Below are 21793 nucleotides of genomic sequence, written 5' to 3' on the forward strand. Positions count from 1 at the left end.
GGTTTCACTGTGTTAGCCAGGATGGTCTTGATCTCCTGACCTTGTGATCTGCCTGCCTCGGCTCGGCCTCCCAAAGTGCTGGGATTACAGGTGTGAGCCACCGCACCCGGCCCACACTAGGGAATATTAATGCAGCAATGAGAATGAACACTCTACAGCTAAGTGCAGCCCTATGGGTGAATCTCACTGATTATGTATTAAACAAAAGAAGCCTGACACGGAAGTGTATATGTTGTAAGATTTCATTCATATAAAGCTCCAAAATAGGCTCATCTATGGTGTTAGGAGTCAGGGTTGCATTTAGCCTCAGGGTGACTAGAAGGGCTCAAGAAGAGAGCTATGAAGGATGTTGCTACTTTTTTTTTTTTTTTTTTTTTTTTTTTTAGGTAGAGATGGGGTCTGCTATGCTGCCTAGGCTGGTGTCAAACTCCCAACCTCAAGTGATCCTCCCACCTCAGCCACTCAAAGTACTGGGATTACAGGCACGAGTCACTGTGCCTGGTCAAATTTTCTTCCTTTCCTTCCTTCTTCCTTTCCTTCCTCTCTCCCCTTCTCCCTCTCTCCCTCTCTCCCTCTCTCTCTCTTCTCCCCTCCCCTCCACTCCCTTCTCCTCTCTTCTCTCCAGTCTTGTCTTGTCTTTTTTCTTTTCTTTCCTTTTCCCTTCCCTTCCCTGCCCTCCCCTCCACTCCCCTCTCCTGTCTTTTCTTTTCTTTCCCCTCCCTCCCCTCCCCTCCTCTTCTTTTCTCTTTTCTTTTCTTTTCTTTTTTCTTTTCTCCTCTCCTCTCCTTTTCTTTTCTTTTCTTTCCAGACAGGGTATCCCTCAGTCACCTAGGTTGCTGGAGTGCAGTGATAGAATCATGGCTTACTCTAGCCTCAAATTCCTGGGCTCAAGCCATCCTCCTGCCTCAGCCTCCTAAGTAGCTGGGACCACCACACTCAGCTAATTTTTTAAATTTTTTTATTATTTATTTATTTTTTTTGTAGAGGTGGAGTCTCATTATGCTGTCCAAGCTGGTCTTGAACTCCTGGGCTCAAGTGATCCTCCTGCCTCAGTTTCCCAAAGCACTGAGATTATAGGCATGAGCCACTGTGCCTGGCCACATTTTGTTTCCTTATCTGGATTCTGGTTATATGGGGATGTTCTCTGTGAAAATTCATGGAGTTAGATACTTATGACATGTGCACCATTTACATGTATGTTAGACTTAGTGGTTTTATTTGAAAACGAAACCGACTTTGCACCCATATACATATATGAAATCAGCCATTCTACATCCTGATTCGCCCTTACAAGGTAGTGTGAGAGGTGTTCCATGGGTTATTTCCCTCGGCCACAACCATCTTCACTGATGTCCTAGTGCAGATCCAGGGCCCAGCCCTGTTCCCCTCCTCACCTACCCTGTGTTCCTGTGTGTGCCTCAGTGTGACAGTCTGGGGCTTGTCACAGACTGTCTTCCTGTGGGAAGGAAGACAAGGGGCTTGTCACAGACTGTCTTCCTGTGGGAAGGAAAGTCTTCCTTTCCCTTTCATTCCTTCCTTCTTTCCTTCCTTCCTTCCTTCCTTCCTTCCTTCCTTCCTTCCTTCCTTCCTTCCTTCCGACGGAGTCTTGCTCTGTTGCCCAGGCTGGAGTGCAGTGGCGCGATCTCAGCTCACTGCAACCTCCGCCTCCTAGCTTCAAGCGATTCTCCTGCCTCAGCCTTGTGAGTAGCTGGGATTACAGGTGCCCACCACCACGTGTGGCTAATTTTTTGTATTTTTAGTAGAGATGGGGTTTCCCTATGTTAGCCAGGCTGTTCTTGAACTGCTGACCTCAGGTGATCTGCCTGCTTCGGCCTCCCAAAGCGCCGGGACTATAGGAGTGAGCCACCCCACCCTACCTTTTTTTTTTTTTTATTTGAGATGGAGTCTTGCTCTGTTGCCCAGGCTGGAGTGCAGTGGCTCGATCTCGGCTCACTGCAAGCTTCACCTCCCAGGTTCATGCCATTCTTCTGCCTCAGCCTCCCGAGTAGCTGGGACTACAGTCACCCGCCACCACGCCCGGCTAATTTTTTTTCTATTTTTAGTAGAGACGGGGTTTCACCGTGTTAACCAGGATGGTCTCAATCTCCTGACCTTGTGATCCACCTGCCTCGGCCTCCCAAAGTGTTTTTTTTTTTTTTTAAGATGAAGTCTCACTCTGTCACCCAGGCTGGGGTACAGTGGCCAGATCACATCTCACTGCAGCCTTGACCTCCTTGGGCTCAAGCAGTCCTCCCGCCATGGTGTGTGCCAACGTGCCTGGCTAATTTTTGAATTTTTTTGTGGAGACAGGGTTTCGTCATGTTGCCCAGGCTGGTTTTGACCTGGGCTCCAGCCATCCTCTTGCCTTGACCTCGCGAAGTACTGGGATTACAGGTGGGAGCCACCATGCCAGGCTAATTTTTATTTTTTTTGTAGAGACAGGATCTTGCTATATTGCCTAAACTGGTTCCGAACTCCTGGGCTCCAGCAATCCTCCTGCCTCAGCCTCCCAAAGTTGCTGGGATTCCAGGCGTGAGCCATGGTGTCTGGCTGATAGTCTGGAGTTTGATGGTGCCCTAAACAGCCTGAGCACCTCAAAGTGAGAAACATGCCTCTGCCTCTTTTCACTGACCCCTCAGCTCCTCTCACCAGCTTACATACTCAGGAAGCCACTACTGTGGCTAGGGGTAGATTGGCATCTAGGTGCGGGGACGAGGGAGATGATGTATCAGGCCTACGGAAGGACTTGGCAAAGTTAGCTTGGCAAGATTAACTTGGCAGTTAGCTTCTCACAAAGCTCACTGAGTGAGAAGAGGATGGAGAAGCGGACAAGAGTGAGAGAGAGGAGTCTCGAACTGTGTCTTTAACTGGCGGCAAGTTGGGAAGTCACTTCCCCTGTCTGGATCTCAGTTTCTGTATCTGTAAAATGGGTGAACAAACCATGAACGAAAATTGGATAAATATGACTATATCGAAGTGAAGAAGTTGGACCAGACTTGTTTTCATATCAGAAGTACCCCAATTGTTCTACCAAAAATTACGAGTTTGCCAGGAGCAGTGGCTCACACCTGTAATCCAAAACACTTTGAGAGGCTGAGGTGGGAGGATTGCTTGAGGCCAGGAGTTCAAGACCAGCCTGGGCGACGGAGTGAGATCTCATCTCAAAAATAAATAAATAATTATTTACTTTAAAAGGAAAATTTTTTTGAGACAGAGTCTTACTCTGTTGCTCAGGCTGGAGTGCAGTGGCTCGATCTTGGCTCACTGCAACTGCCACCTTCCAGGTTCAAGCAATTCTCCTGTCTCAGACTCCCAAGTAGCTGGGACTACAGGTGTGCACCACCATGCCTGGCTAGTTTTTGTATTTTTAGTAGAGATGGGGTTTCATCATGTTGGCCAGGCTGGTCTCGAACTCCTGACCTCAAGTGATCTGCCTGCTGCCTCGGCCTCCCAAAGTGCCGGGATTACAAGCGTGAGCCACTGTGCCTGGCCAATAATTTTAACTTAATTTTTTTAAATTATGAATTCAACATATTAGGAACGAAAAACCCACTTTTCTTTGCAAGAAGTACACTTTTATAGGCTTTCTGCTTCTATATGTATTTATTATTATTATTATTATTATTATTTTGAGACGGAGTCTCATTCTGTCGGCCAGGCTGGAGTGCAGGGGCGGGATCTTGGCTCACTGCAACCTCTACCTCCTGGGTTCAAACGATTCTCCTGCCTCAGCCTCCCGAGTAGCTGGGACCACAGGAATGCACCACCACGCCCAGCTATTTTTTTTTTTTTTTTGTATTTTTAGTAGAGATTGGGTTTCGCCATGTTGGCCAGGCTAGTCTTAAACTCCTGACTTCAAGTGATCTGCCCACCTCGGCTTCCCAAAGTGCCAGGATTACAGGCGTAAGCCACTGTGCCTGGCCTATATTTATGTTTAATAATACTATAAATATCAGTCATATTGCTCATACATTTCTAAATTATACAAATACCAAGTCCTGTGTAGGACAAAAAGTCCTGTGTAGATTACCTCTGGTCTCAACTGAAAATCATTGATCTTTGTGCTCTGAGGCTATGAGAGTGGAGGAGGAGGTAGAGAAAGAGGAGAAGAAGGGGAGGAAGGACAGCAGGGTAGAGATCAAGTGAGTATCTAGTCATCCGTCCAGCCATCCATTCATCTGTCCATCTAGTTATTTACCTATTAATTCATCTATACTCTAATAGTCAGTCTACCCACCCATCTGTCTGTTCATCTACCTGTCTATTCATTTACAATCTGTCCATTCACCTTACTATCCACCCATCTCTTCTTTCATCCACCCATCTCTTCTTCCATCCATCCATCCATCCATCCATCCATCCACCCATCTCTTCTTCCATCAGTCCATCTCTTCTATCTATCCATCCATCCATCTCTCTCCATCCACCCATCTCTTTTTCCATCAATCCATCTCTTCTATCTATCCATCCATCCATCATCCATCCATCTATCTCTTTATCCACCCATCCATCCATCCCCCTCTCTATCTATCCATTTCTTCTTCCATCAGTCCATTCATCTACCAATATGTCTATCTGTCCATCCATCGTTCCATGTATACACCTACCTAACTTTCTATTCATCCAACCATCCACTCAAATACCCACCCATCTGCCCACCCAGTACACATATTAACCGCCTGCTGATGTCATGCCCTCTGTTCAGGCAGAGGTGGGGAATGCTCAGATGCTTGCAACATGGCTCCTGCCTTTGTGCAGCTCAGTATGCAGAGTGAGGCATGCCCTCCAGCAACTAGAGGGGGCCAGTCCCAGTTCCTGGGACTGTGGAAGTTCAGTTAAGGGCGGCCGGACTTGCAGCCCAGGGGGTTAAGGAAGGCTCTCTAGAAGAAACTGTGCTTGAGGGGGACCTCAAAAGACAAAGTGGAGGCCGGGCACCGTGGCTCACGCCTGCAATCCCAACACTTTGGGAGGCCAAAGTGGGAGGATCACTTGAGGCCGGGAGTTTAAGACTAGCCTGGCCAATATGGTGAAACCCCATCTCTACTAAAAACACAAAAATTAGCCGGATCCGGTGGTTTATGCCTGTAGTCCCACCTACTCAGGAGGCTGAGGCACAAGAATTGCTTGAACCTGGGAGGTGGAGGTTGTGGTGAGCCGAGATTGAGCCACTGCACTCCAGCCTGAGCGACAGAGTGAGACTCTGTCTCAAAAAAAAAAAAAAAGACGAAGTGAGAATTAGTCACACAGAGAGGGCAGAAGGTATTCTGGGAGGGAAGAGCTGGAGAAACAAAGGCGGGGGCTGGGGAACCAGAGTAATGAGTCATTCAACTGGCTGGGGTGCCAGCAGGGTGCCAGCAGCCTACATAGCTGCCATGTCCCCAGCTCCCTCGGAGCACAGGCAGCCACCCTGTGACTCCATGCTAGGCTTGGCTCCAGTGGGCACCGAGGTATCTGTATTTCTCAGAGAGTAGCCCATGGACAACTGCCAGGCTGGGGATTCTGTTATGAGTTTGCAACAAGATAAACACAAAAATTCAGAGTGTCTAGAAGCACTTATATCAATTAAAAAAAAATTTAGGTTGGGCACGGTGGCTCACGCCTATAATCCCAGCACTTTGGGAGACCAAGGCGGGTGGGTCAAGAGGTCAGGAGTTCGAGCCCAGCCTGGCCAAGATGGTGAAACCCCGTCTCTACTAAAAATACAAAAGTTAGCTGGGCATGGTGGCGGATGCCTGTAATCCCAGCTACTCGGGAGGCTGAGGCAGGAGAATGATGTTAACCCGGGAGGCGGAGCTTGCAGTGAGCTGAGATGGTGCCACTGCACTCCAGCCTGGGCAACAGAGCGAGATTCCATCTCAAAAAAAAAAAAAGAATAACAAACTGGGCATATAATTTACATATTTCCTTCACTTCAATTTTTCTAGTAATTCATTTTCTGTTGTATTTTGCATACTCACAAGTCTATGTAGATTGAAAATAAAAAAGCAAAAAGGGGCCTTGTGCAGTGGCTCATGCCTGTAATCCCAGCACTTTGGCAGGCCGAGGCAAGAGGATCACTTGAGGTCAGGAGTTCCAGACCAGCCTGGCCAACACGGCGAAACCCCGTCTCTCCTAAATACAAAAATTAGCAGGCATGGTGGCACACGCTTGTAATCCCAGCTACTCAGGAGGCTGAGGCGAGAGACTTGCTTGAACTTGGAAGGTGGAGTTTGCAGTGAGCTGAGATCACACCACTGCACTCCAGCCTGAGTGACAGAGTGAGACTCTGTCTGGAAAAAAAAAAAAAGAAAAAACAAAAAGGGGCTTTTCAGTCAGTTTGAGAAGCACTGATACGCAAGACAGCTTACACTCATATGTCCTTTGCCAATGTGGCTTCATGGTCATTATCTCATTATGAGCCAGACAGAGCAAGGACCATGGTCCCCATTGCCCCGTTGTATAGGATACCTGGCCCAAGGTTCTTACTGATGGTAGATGGCAGGGCTGAGATTTGAACCCACAGCTGTTCCCCATCAGACAGCAACTTCCTGTGAGCTCATGTTCCAGGCTAGGCTGAGCTGGGGTGTGGGACAGGGAGGACACAGGAGAGGAAGAGAGAAGTACCTGGAAAAAGAATGTCAGGCAGGGTGAGAGGTCGGGTCCGGGGCCTGCCCTTTATGCTAAGGGCACTGATGGAGGTCAGTGGGGGATTCCCAAATGGCCCTAGAAGGACCAGGCAAGTCCTCTGGGCTCTCTGTTGGGGAACACGCAGTGGCACCACTGCCAGGCTCAGCCTGTCTCAATCCTTCTCTATGTTCTTCCTACCTCTTTTCCTTTGGCCTCCCCCATTAACCAAGCCCTGAGCTCCCCATGGCCAGGGTCTGGTCTTGTCCCATCCATCTGTACACCCAAAGCTGGCCCAAAGTTCAACCAACAAAACCACCAGTCTCTGCCTGGCCCTTGGCAGGAACCATAGCACCCTCGGACACCATTTTCTCCTCCTGTCCCTGAGGGAGACTAGATGAACAGGGATTTTGATCACTCCATGCTACTGATGAGGGAACAGGCTCAGAGAAATTAAGTCACTCGCTTGAGGTACCAGAACAGGTCATCTAACACTTTATATTTATTTTATTTTTTGGGGACAGAATCTCACTCTGTCACCCAGGCTGGAATGCAGTGGCACAATCTCGGCTCACTGCAACCTCCACCTCCCAGGTTCAAGCGATTTTCCTGCTTCAGCCTTCCAAGTGGCTGGGATGGCTAATTTTTGTATTTTTAGTGGAGACAAGGTTTCGCCATGTTGGCCAGGCTGGTCTCAAACTCTTGACCTCAGGTGATCTGCCCACCTTGGCCTCCCAAAGTGCTGGGATTACAGGTGTGAGCCACCACACCTGGCCTCAACTAAGGCTTTAATTCCCAACCCAGTACTTTTGTTTGTTTGTTTGTTTGTTTTTCCAAGACAGGGTCTCACTCTGTGGCCCAGGTTGGAGTGCAGTGGTGCAATCTCAGCTCACTGAAACCTCTGCTTCCAGGGTTCAAGCGATTCTCCTGCCTCAGCCTCCCTAGTAGCTGGGATTACAGGCACCTGTCACCATGCCCAGCTAATTTTTGTATTTTTAGTAGAGACAGGGTTTCACCATGTTGTCCAGGCTGGTCTTGAACTCCTGACCTCAGGTGATCCACCCACCTCGGCCTTCTGGGATTTCGGGCATGAGCCACCATGCTGGGGCTCATTTAAGTCTTTCATTCCCAACCCAGTACTTTTTGACTAGAGGTTAAATTAAGTAGAGAGGAGAAAAAAAATAGTAGAGAGGAGAAAAAAAAATAGTAGAGAGGAGAGGGAAGACTTTCCCTTAGTGCTCTGGGCTGCAGCCTGTGGTGAGGCTGAGGATGAGTGGACGGTGGGGAGGAAGAACTCGGTGGCACAATGTTATTTGCTCAGAAACTTCCCCTTCTGTACCACTTTGGCTGCTTCCGGGGGAGGCTTAAAACCCCATCCCAGGCCAGGAAGAAACAGAAATGCCAGGAGGGGCCAATAGGCCATTTTCCTAATCTGTGGATGATAAGTAACATGGGACTGTATTTTGGAAAAATCTATTAAACAAAAAATGTAGGTACTCTTTGACCCATCAAATTTACTTCTAGGAATTTGTGCTATAAAATATTTCCAGGAGTGTGCAAAGATGAACAAAGATATTCCTCACAGCACTGTTTATAATAGTGAAAAGCAGCATGGTTGGATACATTTTGATAAATCCCTATAGGGAAATACTATGCAGGTGTTAACAGAACCTCATCTGTGAAATGGAGATAGCTGGATGTGGTGGCTTGAACCAGTAATCCCAGCTACTCAGGAGGCTGAGGCAGGAGGATCGTCTGAGCTCAGGAGTTCAAAACCAGCCTGGGCAACATAATGAGACCCTATCTTTAAAAAAAAAAATGGAGATAATAATCTCATAATTTTTATGAGGATGAAGTGAATTAATACCTGCAAAGTGCTTAGATAGTAAATGCCAGCTCTCATTATTATTATAGGTGTAGGAATAGGAAAAGATAACTAAGATGCAATGCTAATTTAAAAAGAAAGTTATGGGCCGGGCGCAGTGGCTCACGCCTGTAATCCCAGCACTTTGGGAGGCTGAGGCGGGTGGATCACGAGGTCAGGAGATCAAGACCATCCTGGCTAACACGGTGAAACCCCGTCTCCACTAAAAATACAAAAGAAAAATAATTAGCCAGGTGTGGTGGTGGGCGCCTGTAGTCCCAGCTACTTGGGAGGCTGAGGCAGGAGAATGGTGTGAACCCAGGCAGAGCTTGCAGTGAGCCAAGATCGCACCACTCCACTCCAGCCTGGGCAACAGAGCGAGACTCCATCTCAAAAAATAAATATAAATAAATAAAGTAAAGTAAAATAAAATAAAATAAAAAGAAAGTTATGGGCCGGGCATGGTGGCTAATGCCTGTAATCCCAGCACTTTGGGAGGTGGAGGCAGAGTGATCACTTGAGCTCAAGAGTTCAAGACCAGCCTGGGCAACATGGCGAAACCCTGTCTCTTAAAATAATAGCAAAATTAGCCAGGTGTGGTAGCAAGCACCTGTAGTCCCAGCTTCTTGGGGTGCTGAGGTGGAAAAGTCACTTGAGCCAAGGAGGTGGAGTCTACAGTGAGCCAAATTTGCATCACTACACTTCCTGGGTGACAGAGCAAGACCCTGTCTCCAAAAAAAAAAAAAGAAAAAGAAAAAAAGAAATGGCAAAGAACCCTCAAAAACAGTAAAGAAAATAAGAAGAGGCAGTAGAATAGATGATGGCGGCCGGGCGTGGTGGCTCACGCTTGTAATCCCAGCACTTTGGGAGGCTGAGGCATGTGGATCACTTGAGGTCAGGAGTTCGAGGCCAGCCTGGCCAACATGATGAAACCCTGTCTCTACTAAGAATACAAAAATTAGCTGGGCATGGTGGTGCACACCTGTAATCCCAGCTACTCAGGAGGCTGAGGCAGGAAAATCGCTTGAATCCGGGAGGCGGAGGTTGCAGTGAGCCAAGATTGCACCACTGTACTCCAGCCTGGGCGACAGAGCGAGACTCCATCTCAAAAAAAAAAAAAAAAAAGGAGAAAAAAAAGAACAGATGATGGCATGGGAACCCTCTCCCTCTTCTTGAGGACCCCAAAGTCCAGAGATTAATGCTCTCCAACAACAGGAAAAGGCTCTCTTTTTGATTGACCAAACCAGAGTCTGTCCCTGAGCAGACACTGGGAAGACAGAGGCACAGCTTCCCACCCTAGCTTGTCTGCCACTCACAATCTCATTCTGAGGGGCCTAAAGATCTGTAGGGGGCCAGGCACAGTTACTCATGTCTGTAATCCTCGCACTTTGGGAGGCCGAGGCAGGAGGATCACTTGAGCCCAGGAGTTTGAGACCAGCCTGGGTGACATGGCAAAATCCTATCTCTACCAAAAATTAGCCAGGTGTAGTGGCGAGTGCCTTAGTCCCAGCTACCAGGGAGACTAAGGCAGGAGGATTGCTTGAGCTGGGGAGGGTGAGGCTGCAGTGAGCCTTGATTAAAAAACAAAACAAAACCCTATAAGGGACTTTCCTCTTTCCCCAGGAGGTTGGCTCACTGGGGACCCATGGATCACCTCAGGCAAGACATTTGTCCTCCCTGGGCCTCAGTTGCCCTCCCTGTAACATGGGAGGAATTCACCTAGCCTCTTGGGTATGTTGTGAAGAGCCAGGGGAGGATCATGTGCTACCAGCATCATAGCAGTGCAGGGCACAAAGGTGAACCTGGAGGTGGTGTTTCACCAAGATGAGCCACTGTGCCAATGGTCTGTCTGTAAAAATTCCGATAGCCACCGTATACCAGCAAATGGTGTTTACTCACACTTATGACACCATTTCTCAATTCTCTGACACCAGCTGTGTGTCCTGCGATTCAATTCTGACACTTTTTTTTGTTTTTGAGATGGAGCCTCGCTCTGTCACCCAGGCTGGAGTGCAGTGGCGCAATCTCAGCTCACTGCAACCTGCAACCTCCACCTCCAGGGTTCAAGGGATTCTCCTGCCTCAGCCTCCCAAGTAGCTGGGATTACAGGCATATGCCATGACGCCTGGCTAATTTTTGTATTTTTAGTAGAGATGGGGTTTCACCATGTTAGCCAGGCTGGTCTCAAACTCCTGACCTCATGATCCGCCCACCTCAGCCTCCCAAAGTGCTGGGATTACAGACGTGAGCCACTGTGCCAGGCCAATTCTGACACTATTTACCTGGAGTTAGCATCCGATTTCACAAGTTATGGGCTTATTCCCACAAGCCTGCCTCTACTTCAGATAGCAGTCACAAGTACTAGGCTGCCACTTGAACTTCTGATTGACCAGCTATAAATCAGGGGTTCTCATGACTTTCTCCTCAGTGTCAATAATTTGGTAGAATGGCTCACAGCACTCAGTAAATCATTTTACTTACATTTATCAGTTTGTTATCAATGATACAACTCAGGAACAGCCAGATGGAAGAGATGCATGGGCTAGAGTATGGGGGTGGTGCACGGAGCTTCCATGCCCTCTCTGGGAGCATCACCCTCCTAGCACCTTGATGTGTTCACAAACTCAGAAGCTCCATGAAGCCCAACATTTAGGGGTTTTTAATGGAGGTTTCTATTTATTTATTTATTTATTTTTGTGTGTGATAGAGTCTCACTCTGTCACCCAGGCTGGAGTGCAGTAGTGCGATCTTGGCTCACTGTAACCTTCACCTCCTGGGTTCAAGAGATTCTCCTGCCTCAGCCTCTGGAGTAGCTGGGACTACAGATGAGCACCACCACCCCTGGCTAATTTATTTTTGTATTTTTAGTAGAGACAGAGTTTCGCCACCTTGGCCAGGCTGGTCTCAAACTCCTGATCTCAGATGATCCACCCGCCTCAGCTTCCCAAATTTCTGGGATTACAGGCGTGAGCCACCATGCCTGGCCCTTTTTTAAATTTATTTATTTTATAAGACAGGGTCTTGCCATGTTGCCCAGTCTGGTCTTGAACTTCCAGGTTGAAGCACTGCTCCCACCTTGGCCTCCCAGAGTCCTGGGATTATAGGCGTGAGCCACCTTGCCTGGCCACTGCAAGTTTCATTACGTAGACATGATTGATTATGTGACTGAACGCATTCTCCAACCCTCTCTTCTCCCCCAAGTTTGGGGAGGCAGGGAGCTGAAAGCTCCAATCCTCTAATCATGCCTTGGTCTTTCTAGTGAACAGCCCCCATCCTGAAACTCTCTAGGGGCCTCCAGCCACCAGTCCTCTTAATAGCTTTCAAAAGACACTCTTAGCATTCTGGAGATTCCAAGGGTTGTAGGAGCTGTGTGCCAGGAGCCACAGTCAAAGACCACAAATATATTTCCCCTTGCACCACAGCCAGGGATGCCAGTGGGCTGCCTGGCCCTGTGTATTTGCTATTGAGTCTCATCCATCAATCTGCTCAACCAGCCCGTTGCTCAGGGCTGAGGGTCCCTATTGTACACAGCACATCAAGGCTCAGAGACATGTTTATTTGATTCTCTCATGTAGTGAGATATGTTACAAAGATTAGGACATTGGGAGGCCGAGGCGGGCGGATCACGAGGTCAGGAGATCGAGACCAGCCTGACTAACACAGTGAAACCCCGTCTCTACTAAAAATATAAAAAATTGGCCGGGCATGGTGGCGGGTGCCTGTAGTCCCAGCTACTCGGGAGGCTGAGGCAGGAGAATGGCGTGAACCCGGGAGGCGGAGCTTGCAGTGAGCCGAGATTGCGCCACTGCACTCCAGCCTGGGCGACAGAGCGAGACTCCGTCTCAAAAAAAAAAAAAAAAAGAAAGATTAGGACAGTCATCCAGGTTACACAGTTCATGAGTAGTTCAGCCCAAATTTGAACCCAGTTGTGTCTGATGGCAGAGCCCAAGTATGTCTTTCTGCTGGGCTGCTTGGTGGAACTGAAGGATGACCCGTCCCTTAGGCCTCCTTGCAAACATCATGTGTCAGGTAAATCCACCCAAGACTGAGCTAATCAGCAGGTACTAGGACAGAGGGGACAGCTGGCACATAGTAGACACTTTATTTTATTTTTTGGAGGCAAGGTGTTGCTCTTTTGCTTAGACTTCAGTGCAGCGGCACCACCATGGCTCACTGCAACTTTGAACTCCTGGCTCAAGTGATCCTCCCGCCTCAGCCTCCCAAGTAGCTGGGACTACAGGTGTGCATCACCACCCCTGGCTAATTTTTAAAAATTTTTATATAGATGGGGGGTCTCACTATGTTGCCCAGGCTGGTCTCAAAGTCCTGGGCTCAAGCAATCCTTCTGCCTCAGCCTCCTGAGTGGCTGGGACTATAAGCTTGTGCCACCATGCTTGGCTAATTTTTTTGTAGAGACAGGGTCTCACTAGGCTGCCCAGACTGGTCCCAAACTTCTGGTCTCAAGCAATCCTCCTGCCTTGGCCTCCCAAAGCTCTGATATTACAGATGTGAGCCACTGCACCTGGCTGAGGACTGGTTTTGTCTTTTTTTTTTTTGAAGCTGAGTTTAGCTCTTTCTCCCAGGCTGGAGTGAAGTGGCTTGATCTCGGCTCACTGCAACCTCCACCCCCAGGCTTCAAGTGATTCTCCTGCCTTAGGACCTCCCAAGTAGCTGGGATTACAGGTGCCCGCCAACATGCCCGGCTAATTTTTGTATTTTTAGTAGAGACAGGGTTTTGCCATGTTGGCCAGGCTGGTCTTGAACTCCTGACCTCAGACGATCCACCCGTCTCAGCCTCCCAAAGTGTTAAAATTGCAGACACGAGCCACTGTGCCTTGCCGGTTTTCTCATCTTTAAAATGGCTATGACTATGTGATGTTATTGTGCAGTTGTTGCAAAGATGAAATGAAATATGTAAGTGAGAGCCAGTGGTACCTGGTAAATGTGGGTTTTCTTCTTCTGTCCCTCTTTTCCTCCCCCCAGCCCGCCCTTTCTTCTTTCCTTCCTTCCTGGTCGACATCTCTGATTACAATGTCAGAGAACCAGGAGCTGTAGGACAAAGAAGATAGGGCGACAATCTCCTCCAGGGGACTCAGGGATGGAAAACGCTTCTCAGACTGTTGCAGCAGGTGACAGTCATCTGCTCTGCCCAGAATCTCCTGGCCTCTCCCCTGCTGGATAACTGGCCCCATGCCGGCCCCATCAGGGCATCAGGCCCCTGGACTGAGATAGAAAGTGGATCCCAGGAAGCATATCTCTCGCCCAAAGTCACACTGCTAATGGGGCTGAATATGGGACAAGAACTTTTGTGACTACCCAAGCCAGCTAGCAGGGGGTGGCCTGGGATTCTGGGTAGAGCATTTTTTTTTTTTTAAGAGAGGGGTTCTTGCTCTGTTGCCCAGGCTGGAATGCAGTGGTGACATCATAGCTCACTGCAGCCTCAAACTCCTGGTCTCAAGTGATCGTCCTGTGTCAGCCTCCTGAGTAGCTATGACTATATGCCTGTGCCACCACACCTGGCTAATTTTTTAATTTGTTGCAGAGACACAGATCTTTCTATGCTGTCCAGGCTGGTCTTGAACTCCTGGCCTCAAGCAACCCTCCCACTTTGGCCTCCCAAAGTGTTGAGATTACAGGCTTGAGCCACTGCCTCTGGCCCTAGGGCAGTAGTTGTCTGTCTCTTATTTATCAGTGCCAGGACCTACCCTGGGAATATTCTGTTCACTCTTCCCTTGTTGGGGGCCCCCTTCTCCAAGGTCAGCTTAGCTAACTTCAAAGAGGAGAGACAGAGCCACCTTGCCCCTAAGTTTCAGGAGTGAGAAAGATGGGTGGGGAGGGGGTGGAGGTGGGTGAGGTGGGCGCAGGACACATGGACACCCATGAGCTGACCTGGGAGGTTGGGGGTCAGCCAATGTAATCCCCTCTTGTGTGTTTCTCCCTGAATGCAGAGAATGCACCACCCATGTTGCTTCCAGACCTCCTCCCAGCTCTGCTCAACAGTCCAGGCGAGCCCATTTAACCCCAGGTTACAGGTGTGCAGAGTGAAGCCCGGAGGAGGACAGGGCTTGCCAAGGTCACTGACAGTAGTGGGAACAGAAACCAGGGCTTTGGAGCCAAGATGCTTGGGTTTGAATATCAGCTTTGCCGTTCCCAGGCTGTGTGACCTTGAGCCAGAGCCTTGACCTCTCTGAGCCTGTTTCCTCATCTGTAAAATGGAGATCTTTTCCTTCTCTGGTTATCAGGAAGAAGGAAACAGTGCCAGAAAAGCTTGTGCAGTGCCTGGCTTGCAGTAAATGCATAGCAAACCCCAGTTCCTCTTCCTCTTCTCCTATCTGAACAGCAATCCTAAGCCTGCACGTCCCCTCTCTCTTCCCTCCTCTGCCCCACATCTGTAGCCAAAACTTTTTCTTTGGCCCTAACCAGAGAGTGAGGACTGCACTAATGATGGCCTCTCCCAGCCCCTGACAAACCCAACACATGTCTAAGCTTGCATTTAGCCACCACAGGGCTGGCAGCAGGGCCAAAGACAGCCCCGGGGAGGGTACCCAGGGAGGGCCATTGCCTGAAGGCACTAGAGACTCTGGGCAAGTGTGGCTGCAGGAGCCTCGGAGACATGACCTCTCCCACTTCCACGCTTCCAGTCCACTCTTCCATCCCACTCTACAGCCTGCAGAAGCTCATATGCCAGCCCTCCACTTCAGCTGACAAACATCATCTCCACCAGTGCCACCCCTATATCGGCCAGAGGATTTCAATCACAGGATTCCAAGACACCAGGCGGATGCTTCCTGGACCCTGGCTCTGAGCTGCCCTCCCATGTGGTCCCCAGGCTGAGTCCCAACCCCAGCCTGAGCCCCAACCCTGATTCTAAACTGAGCCCTGGCCTGGCTCAGCCAGCAGACTGTGTCCTTAGGGGGCAATTAGGGAGAAGTGAGATGGGTCATCTTCTCAAGATGGGGAAACTCCTGGCTACTACAGCTCAGACCTCTTCTGGTATTACAGAATCTTCCTCCTCTCCCAGAAGCTACCCTAGGCTGAGGAGCTGAGCTTCCCTGGGGCGGACCTGAGATTCCCAGACCTGTATTCTGAGACTTCTCCTGCATCTGAGGGCCTGGGCAGGACATGGGGCAGGGGAGTTGCTGAGTGTAAGATAAGTTCTTGGGCAAAGTGGGGACCAGCTCAGCTCTCATAGATCCCTGGTCCCCCTGACTTCCTGACTCAGCTGACCCTGTAACACCATCCCCCTTGTGAAGGCCCAGAGGGACTTGGTTGGAGTGGGCCACACTGTCCCCCAAAGCAACCTGGTGTTCCGTTTTACTCTGTCCCCATCTCCACACGAGTGGCCCAGGAACAGTAAACCTTCCCATGTCACGGAGGGAGAGCCAGGCCCAGAGACGGAAAGTCGTGCGCCCAAGGTCACACAGTCAGACACAGACAAGAACCCAAAGCTCCCAAACCCAGCCCAGAGGTGGGGGCAGGGTGGCTGGGAGGAAGCCCTGGCTTTCCCCCCTGGGCAGAGCAGCAGGAGTGCCGGCCACCACTTCTGTGGCCCCCACCTGTTGGCTAGAAGCCTAGGGGCCAGAATCCACATACCCCACCCTGCCATCTCCCTTCTTTCTGTCCCAGCCAGGGGCAGTTTTGGTCCTCCTCATCCCAGGGCCCACCTGGACAGGGTTTCTCCACTGGCATGTCACCTGCCCAGGGCAGGGAGAGCCAGAGGGAGGAAGGCCCTCCCTCCTGACTCCCTGGGCCCCCTCTCAGCTCCTGGGAGAACCTCCCAGACCAGGATGGAAGCCCAGCCCAGTCCAGCCAGTGGGAGACACGGGGCTTCCAGGACCCGTGTGCACTTCACCTTCTAGCAGGATGAATTCTTGGATTCCTGATCCGGAGTCCTCCCTGGGGTACGAGTTTGCCTCCTTCCTCCTGGCAGCTGAGGCTGAGCGAGGAGGCCACATAAGCCTATGAACCCCTTCAACCCAGCTGAGCCAGAGACGCGCGCCTCTATGGGCAGAGGGGAAACTGAGGCCCAGCACAGAGGCGGATCCAATTCCCCTTGGGTGAGGCCCCTGCACCCACCTGATGACGCGGGGGCTCCACGCCCTCACCTGGAATCCGCTCGACCTGCAGAGGGGCGCGGCGCGGCCAGGGGCGGGCGGCGGGCGGCGGGGGCGCTGCGGGGATGCTTGGGACCGCCGGACCGCGCCCGGCGCCTTCTCCGCGCGGGCGGCAGAGGGCTCCGTGCGCTGCGCCGCGGGCCCGGCTTTTAGCAGCGGGTGTGGACGCGGGCACCCCCGCCCCGCTCCGAGGTGTCCTTTGCCCCTTGATCTGGTGCCTCCTTCTCTCCTTAGCACGTGGGCGGCAGCCGCTCAGCCGCTCAGAGGCCTGTGGGGCAGCCATGGCCCGGGCCCTGGGCTCGGGCGCCTGCCAATCCCCGTCTGCCGCCGGCTCGTGCCCGCTCACCTTTAACCCCCTCTACTTTCCCCGGGGGCTCGGTGCCCGGCCCCCAGCCGCGGGCTGGGCTCGGGGAGGGAGGAGCCGCAGGTGTGGGGCCACCCCAGGTGGGCAGAGAAAGACGCTGGGACCGCCTCGGGCTCCTCCCAGAGCCCCAGCCCGGCTTTGAACCTCCTCCTAGTCCCTGAGTCCCCCCAGCACTCTCTCTCACTCTCATCCCTCACTCTTACTCTCTTCTCTCCCCGCTTTCTCTCTTTCTCTCTCTCCCCCTCCCTTTCCTCTCCCTCTCTCTTCTCTCCTCCAGGCTCCTCTCTCCCTCTCCCCTCACTTTCTCTCTACCCCCTCTTCTCTCTCCCCCTTCTCTCATCTCTCTCATTCTCCCCCTTCCTCTCTTTCCCTCTCTCTCTCCTCTCTCTCTGTCTCTCACTCTGTCTCTCTCCTCTATCTCTCTCACTTTCTCTTTCTCTCTCTATTCCCCTCCTTTTTCACTCTCCCCCCTCTCTCCTCTCTCTCTCTCATTCTCCCCCTCCTCTTTCTTTCTCTCTCTCTCTCACACTGTCTCTCTGTCCCTTGTCTCTCCCTGCCCCGTCTCTCTCCCTCTGTCTTCTCTCTTTCCCTCTGACCCTGGCTCTCCTCTCTCTCTCCCACCCTCCTCTCTCTCTCCTTTACTTTCTCTCTATCCCCTCCTCTCTCTCTCCTTTCTCTTCTCTTTTTCTCTCTCCCTCTCTCCCCCCTCTCTCTCTCATTCTCCTCCCTCTCTTTCCATCTCTCTCCTCTCTCTGTCTCTCACTCTGTCTCTCTCCCTCTCTCTCCTCTCTCTCTCACTTTCTGACTTTCTCTCTCTCCCCCCTCCTCTCTTTCTCCCCCCTCTCTCTTTCTCTCTCATTCTCCCCCCTTTCCCTCTCTCTCCTCTCTCTCTCACTCTGTCTCTCTCCCTCTCTCTCTCCTCTCTCTCTCTCACTTTCTCTCTGTCTCTACCCCCTCCTCTTTCTCTCTCTCCCTCTCTCTCCTCTCTCTCTCTCTCATTCTCCCCCCTTGCCTTTCTCTCTTTCCCTCTCTCACTCCCTCTCCCCCTTCTCTCTCCCTTTCTCTTCTCTCTTTCCTTCTCTCTGTCTCTCACTCTGTCTCTCCCCCTCCTTTCCCCCCCTCTCTCTTCCTCTCCTCTCCCTCTCTGTCTCTCCCTCTGTCTCTGTCTCTCTCTCTCTCTCACTGTCTATCTCCTGTCTCTCTCTCATCTGGCTCACTGAGCCCCATTCATTCCCTCTTTGACCAGCTTCATCCCATGCTCCCTCTGAGTCCCCCCTCAAGCCCCCACCCTCCCTGCCCTTGACATCACATCCCCTCCCTAAACCCCACTCCCCTCCCTGAGCCCCCATTCCTCACCCCTCCCTGAGGCCCTTCCTGCCTTCCGGGGCCCACTGACTTCCCCTCTCTTGCTCTTAGTGCTGTGTCCTCTCAACTCTTTTTTTTTAAGCAATGGGTTCTCACTATGTTGCCCACGTTGGTCTCTATCTCCTGGTCTTAAGCAATCCTCCCACCTCGACCTCCCAAAGTGCTGGGATTACAGGTGCAAGCCACTGGGCCTGGCCCAGACTCTTACATTTACTCCACAAACATCCTTAAACACCCTTGGCGTAGCAGCCCAGTGAGAGAGCGGGATAGGCCAGCGGTGGTATCAGTTTCAAAGTCCAGGATGGATGCCTCCAAGTCCTCAGAGGTCCTGTGGAGTAGGCACCACCTGGGAAGGGGGCATTCAGGACCTCAGCTTGCCTGCCAGCTTCAAGGGGCCGTGTGGGGTAGAAGGAAGGATCCCCCTGGCCACCGCTCGGCCAGGAGCGGGCAGTGTGGGATGGAAAGAAGAAAGGGCTTTCACAGCCACCCTACCCAGCAATGAGGCAGCTTCCTCCCAGCCCCACGGGCTTCCTTCCTTCTACGGCTAGCGGGGGGCAGCAGAGGCAGAAGGGATCCTGCCAATAATGCCCCTCAGAGTCCCCTGGTGATGGCAGGAGGTAGAGCGCAGGGGGAAGGCCGGGGGCATGCCGGAGGATGAGGCTGAGCCCGAGCCCAGAAGAGACCCTGAGTTGATCAGATTCTGCCCACACACCATTTATTTGTTTTGAGACAAGGTCTCGCTCTGTCACCCAGGCTGGAGTGCAATGGTGCAATCTCAGCTCACCGCAACCTCCGCCTCCTGGGTTCAAGTGATTCTCCTGCCTCAGCCTCTCAAATAGTTGGGACTACAGGTGCATGCCACCACGCCCGGCCAGTTTTTTTGTACTTTTAGTAAAGATGGGGTTTTGCCATGTTGGCCAGGCTGGTCTCAAACTCCTGGCCTCAAGTGATCTGCCTGCCTCGGCCTCCCAAAGTGCTGGGATTACAGGTGTGAGCCACTGCGCCCAGCCCCACACCCCATTTGGAATTCACTCTGCCTGAGGGTGGGCGGTGGTGGTGGAAGGGTGCATCTTGAGAAGGAAGCAGATGAAGACACCTCCTGCTTCTTCCACCTGCCTCATACGTCCTGGTGGGTCAGCTTGGCCTTCTCTGCCCACTGTTTCCTGTCTTGCATGAGTTTCTTGTCACGTGACCTCCTACTAGTAGGCTTCAGTCTGCTACCTTGGACAGACACCTGTTCATGGCCAGCGCCAGGACCCAGAGTCAGCGTGTGTGTGTGTGTGTGTGTGTGTAAAGGAAGTGGGGCTTGAGCCACCACCACATTGACTGGCTCTGCAACTGGGCATGATACTGATACTCCATCTCCCAGGGCCTCAGTTTCCCCATACATAGGGTTGGTGGATTTAGCAAATACAAATCCAGGATGCCCCATTAAATTTGAATTTCAGATACACAATGGCTTTTTTTAGTATAAGTATGTCTCATGCCATATTTGTGGCATACTTATACTAAGAGATTATTCATAATGCTTATCTAAAACTCAAATTTAACTGGGCATCCTGGGTTGACCCTACCCATATGTAAAACAGGAGAGGCAGGGAGGTATGAATAAGATGTTCTCCAGTGGGGCATGGTGGTTCATGCCTCTAACCCCAGCGCTTTGGGATACTGAGGTGGGAGGATCGCTTAGACACCAGGAGTTTGAGACCAGCCTAGGCAACAATATAGTGAGACCCTGTCTCTAAAAAATAAAAATATAAAAGATGCTCTCTCTCATGAATGCTCTTAGCTCCAGCTACACCCTGTGAAAAACCTCAGGTCTACCTGAAAGTGGTCCAGAGATGTTTGTTTGTATCCCTTGCAGAGGAAGAGGAGAGCTGGGGGAAGATAGGAAGTAGGGTGCAGGACTCAGCTGTGGTCACAGGGCATCAAAGAGAAGAGGCAGAAAGAAGAAGTTCCTAGAGGCAGTGCAATCCTGGAGGGCTTTCTGAAGGAGGAAGATTTTCATGGTTACTTTGATGCTGGAAAGGAAGGGAGGTGGATTAGGGGGCCTCTGGTGGAGTGCTCCCTGACTTTAATGGAGGTGGAGAGGCATGGAGGGTCTCCTCTTTTTTTCTGAGAAAGAGAGTTTCACTTCTTAGCCTGGGCTGGAGTGCAGTGGGTCCACCATGGCTCACTGCAACCTTGAACTCCTGGGCTAAAGTGATCATTCTGCTTTAGCCTCTTGAGTAGCTGGGATCACTAGTAGGCTCCAACACGCCCAGCTAATTTTTGTTTGTTTTTGTAGAGACAGGGTCTCACCATGTTGTCCAGGCTGGCCTTGAACTCCTGGGTTCAAGCAATCCTCCTGCCGTGGCCTCCCAAAGTGCTGGGATTACAGGTGTGAGCCACTGTGCCTGGCTGTGAAGATCAATATAAAGTATCTTCCCCTTCATATGAAGAGTACCTATACCTAGGGCAGTCTCTCTTCGACCCAACAAGTTACTATCACTTTTTTTTTTTTTTTGAGACAGAGTTTCACTTGTGTCGCCCAGGCTGGAGTGCAGTGATCTCGGCTCACTGCAACCTCCACCTCCCAGGTTTAAGCGATTCTCCTGCCTCAGCCTCCCAAGTAGCTGGGATTACAGGCACCCACCACCACGCCTGGCTAATTTTTGTATTTTTAGTAGAGATGGAGTTTCTCCATGTTGGCCAGGCTGGTCTTGAACTCCTGACCTCAGGTGATCCGTGTGCCTCGGCCTCCCAAAGTGTTGGGATTACAGGCATGAGCCACCATGCCTGACCCCAGTACCACTTCTTTTTTTTTTTTTGAGATGGAGTCTCGCTGTGTCTCCCAGGCTGGAGTGCAGTGGCTCAATCTTGGCTCACTGCAAGCTCTGCCTCCCGGGTTCACGCCATTCTCCTGCCTCAGCCTCCTGAGTGGCTGGGACTACAGGCGCCCGCCACCACACCTGGCTAATTTTTTGTATTTTTAGTGGAGACGGGGTTTCACCGTGTTAGCCAGGATGGTCTCGATCTCCTGACCTCATGATCCGCCTGCCTCGGCCTCTCAAAGTACTGGGATTACAGGCGTGAGCCACCGCGCCCGGCCCCCCAGTATCACTTCTGACTAACATTTACCAAACACTTACTACTTGCCAGGGTCCCGCCCACACCTGCTAAGCTGTTTATGTGGGTTAATCATTTAATCCCTTCCACAACCAGATGAAGTGAGTGTGTTTCCCCCACTTTACAGAAGAAGAGACAGAGGCACAGGGAGGTTGGGTCATTTGAGGTTCATACTGGCCGTAAGCGGCGGAGCTGGAATTTGAGCCCTGGTGTCCTGGCTCTCTGTACCTGCCGTGTGACAGATCCTGAGCTGGAAGCTGGAACTGGAGAAATGACATAAATGCCATCCCTGCCCTCAGAGGACCTCTGGTCTAACAGTGGGGACAGGTTAGTCTCTAAGAACTCCAGTACAGGGCAGGCTGGCATCAGAGCTGT

General features: G+C 51.2%; 1 protein-coding gene across 1 annotated transcript in view, besides 4 other annotated features; it reads right to left on the reverse strand.

The window, feature by feature from the left end:
* The window catches only part of MLXIPL (MLX interacting protein like), a 54706-nt gene extending 38001 nt beyond the window's left edge, over positions 1 to 16705 (reverse strand). The window contains exon 1 of the mRNA XM_047420437.1: positions 16544 to 16705. The gene's annotated coding sequence lies outside the window, so the exon portion shown is untranslated. The remainder of the gene's footprint in view (positions 1 to 16543) is intronic.
* Positions 4371 to 5220: an enhancer, noted in NCBI's record as "H3K27ac-H3K4me1 hESC enhancer chr7:73049903-73050752 (GRCh37/hg19 assembly coordinates)". NCBI's record gives its function as "activates a minimal SCP1, AML or CMV promoter by ChIP-STARR-seq in primed H9 embryonic stem cells {active_cell/tissue: H9 hESC(primed)}" and the evidence as "EXISTENCE:reporter gene assay evidence [ECO:0000049][PMID:30033119]".
* Positions 5177 to 5471: an enhancer, noted in NCBI's record as "tiled region #8994; K562 Activating DNase unmatched - State 20:ReprD". NCBI's record gives its function as "activates a minimal TATA promoter and a strong SV40 promoter by Sharpr-MPRA in K562 cells {active_cell/tissue: K562}" and the evidence as "EXISTENCE:reporter gene assay evidence [ECO:0000049][PMID:27701403]".
* Positions 16869 to 16938: a silencer, noted in NCBI's record as "silent region_18255". NCBI's record gives its function as "represses an Ori minimal core promoter by ATAC-STARR-seq in GM12878 lymphoblastoid cells {active_cell/tissue: GM12878}" and the evidence as "EXISTENCE:reporter gene assay evidence [ECO:0000049][PMID:35858748]".
* Positions 16979 to 17028: a silencer, noted in NCBI's record as "silent region_18256". NCBI's record gives its function as "represses an Ori minimal core promoter by ATAC-STARR-seq in GM12878 lymphoblastoid cells {active_cell/tissue: GM12878}" and the evidence as "EXISTENCE:reporter gene assay evidence [ECO:0000049][PMID:35858748]".

This window comes from Homo sapiens, chromosome 7, assembly GCF_000001405.40.
Source record: "Homo sapiens chromosome 7, GRCh38.p14 Primary Assembly".
Taxonomy (NCBI): domain Eukaryota; kingdom Metazoa; phylum Chordata; class Mammalia; order Primates; family Hominidae; genus Homo; species Homo sapiens.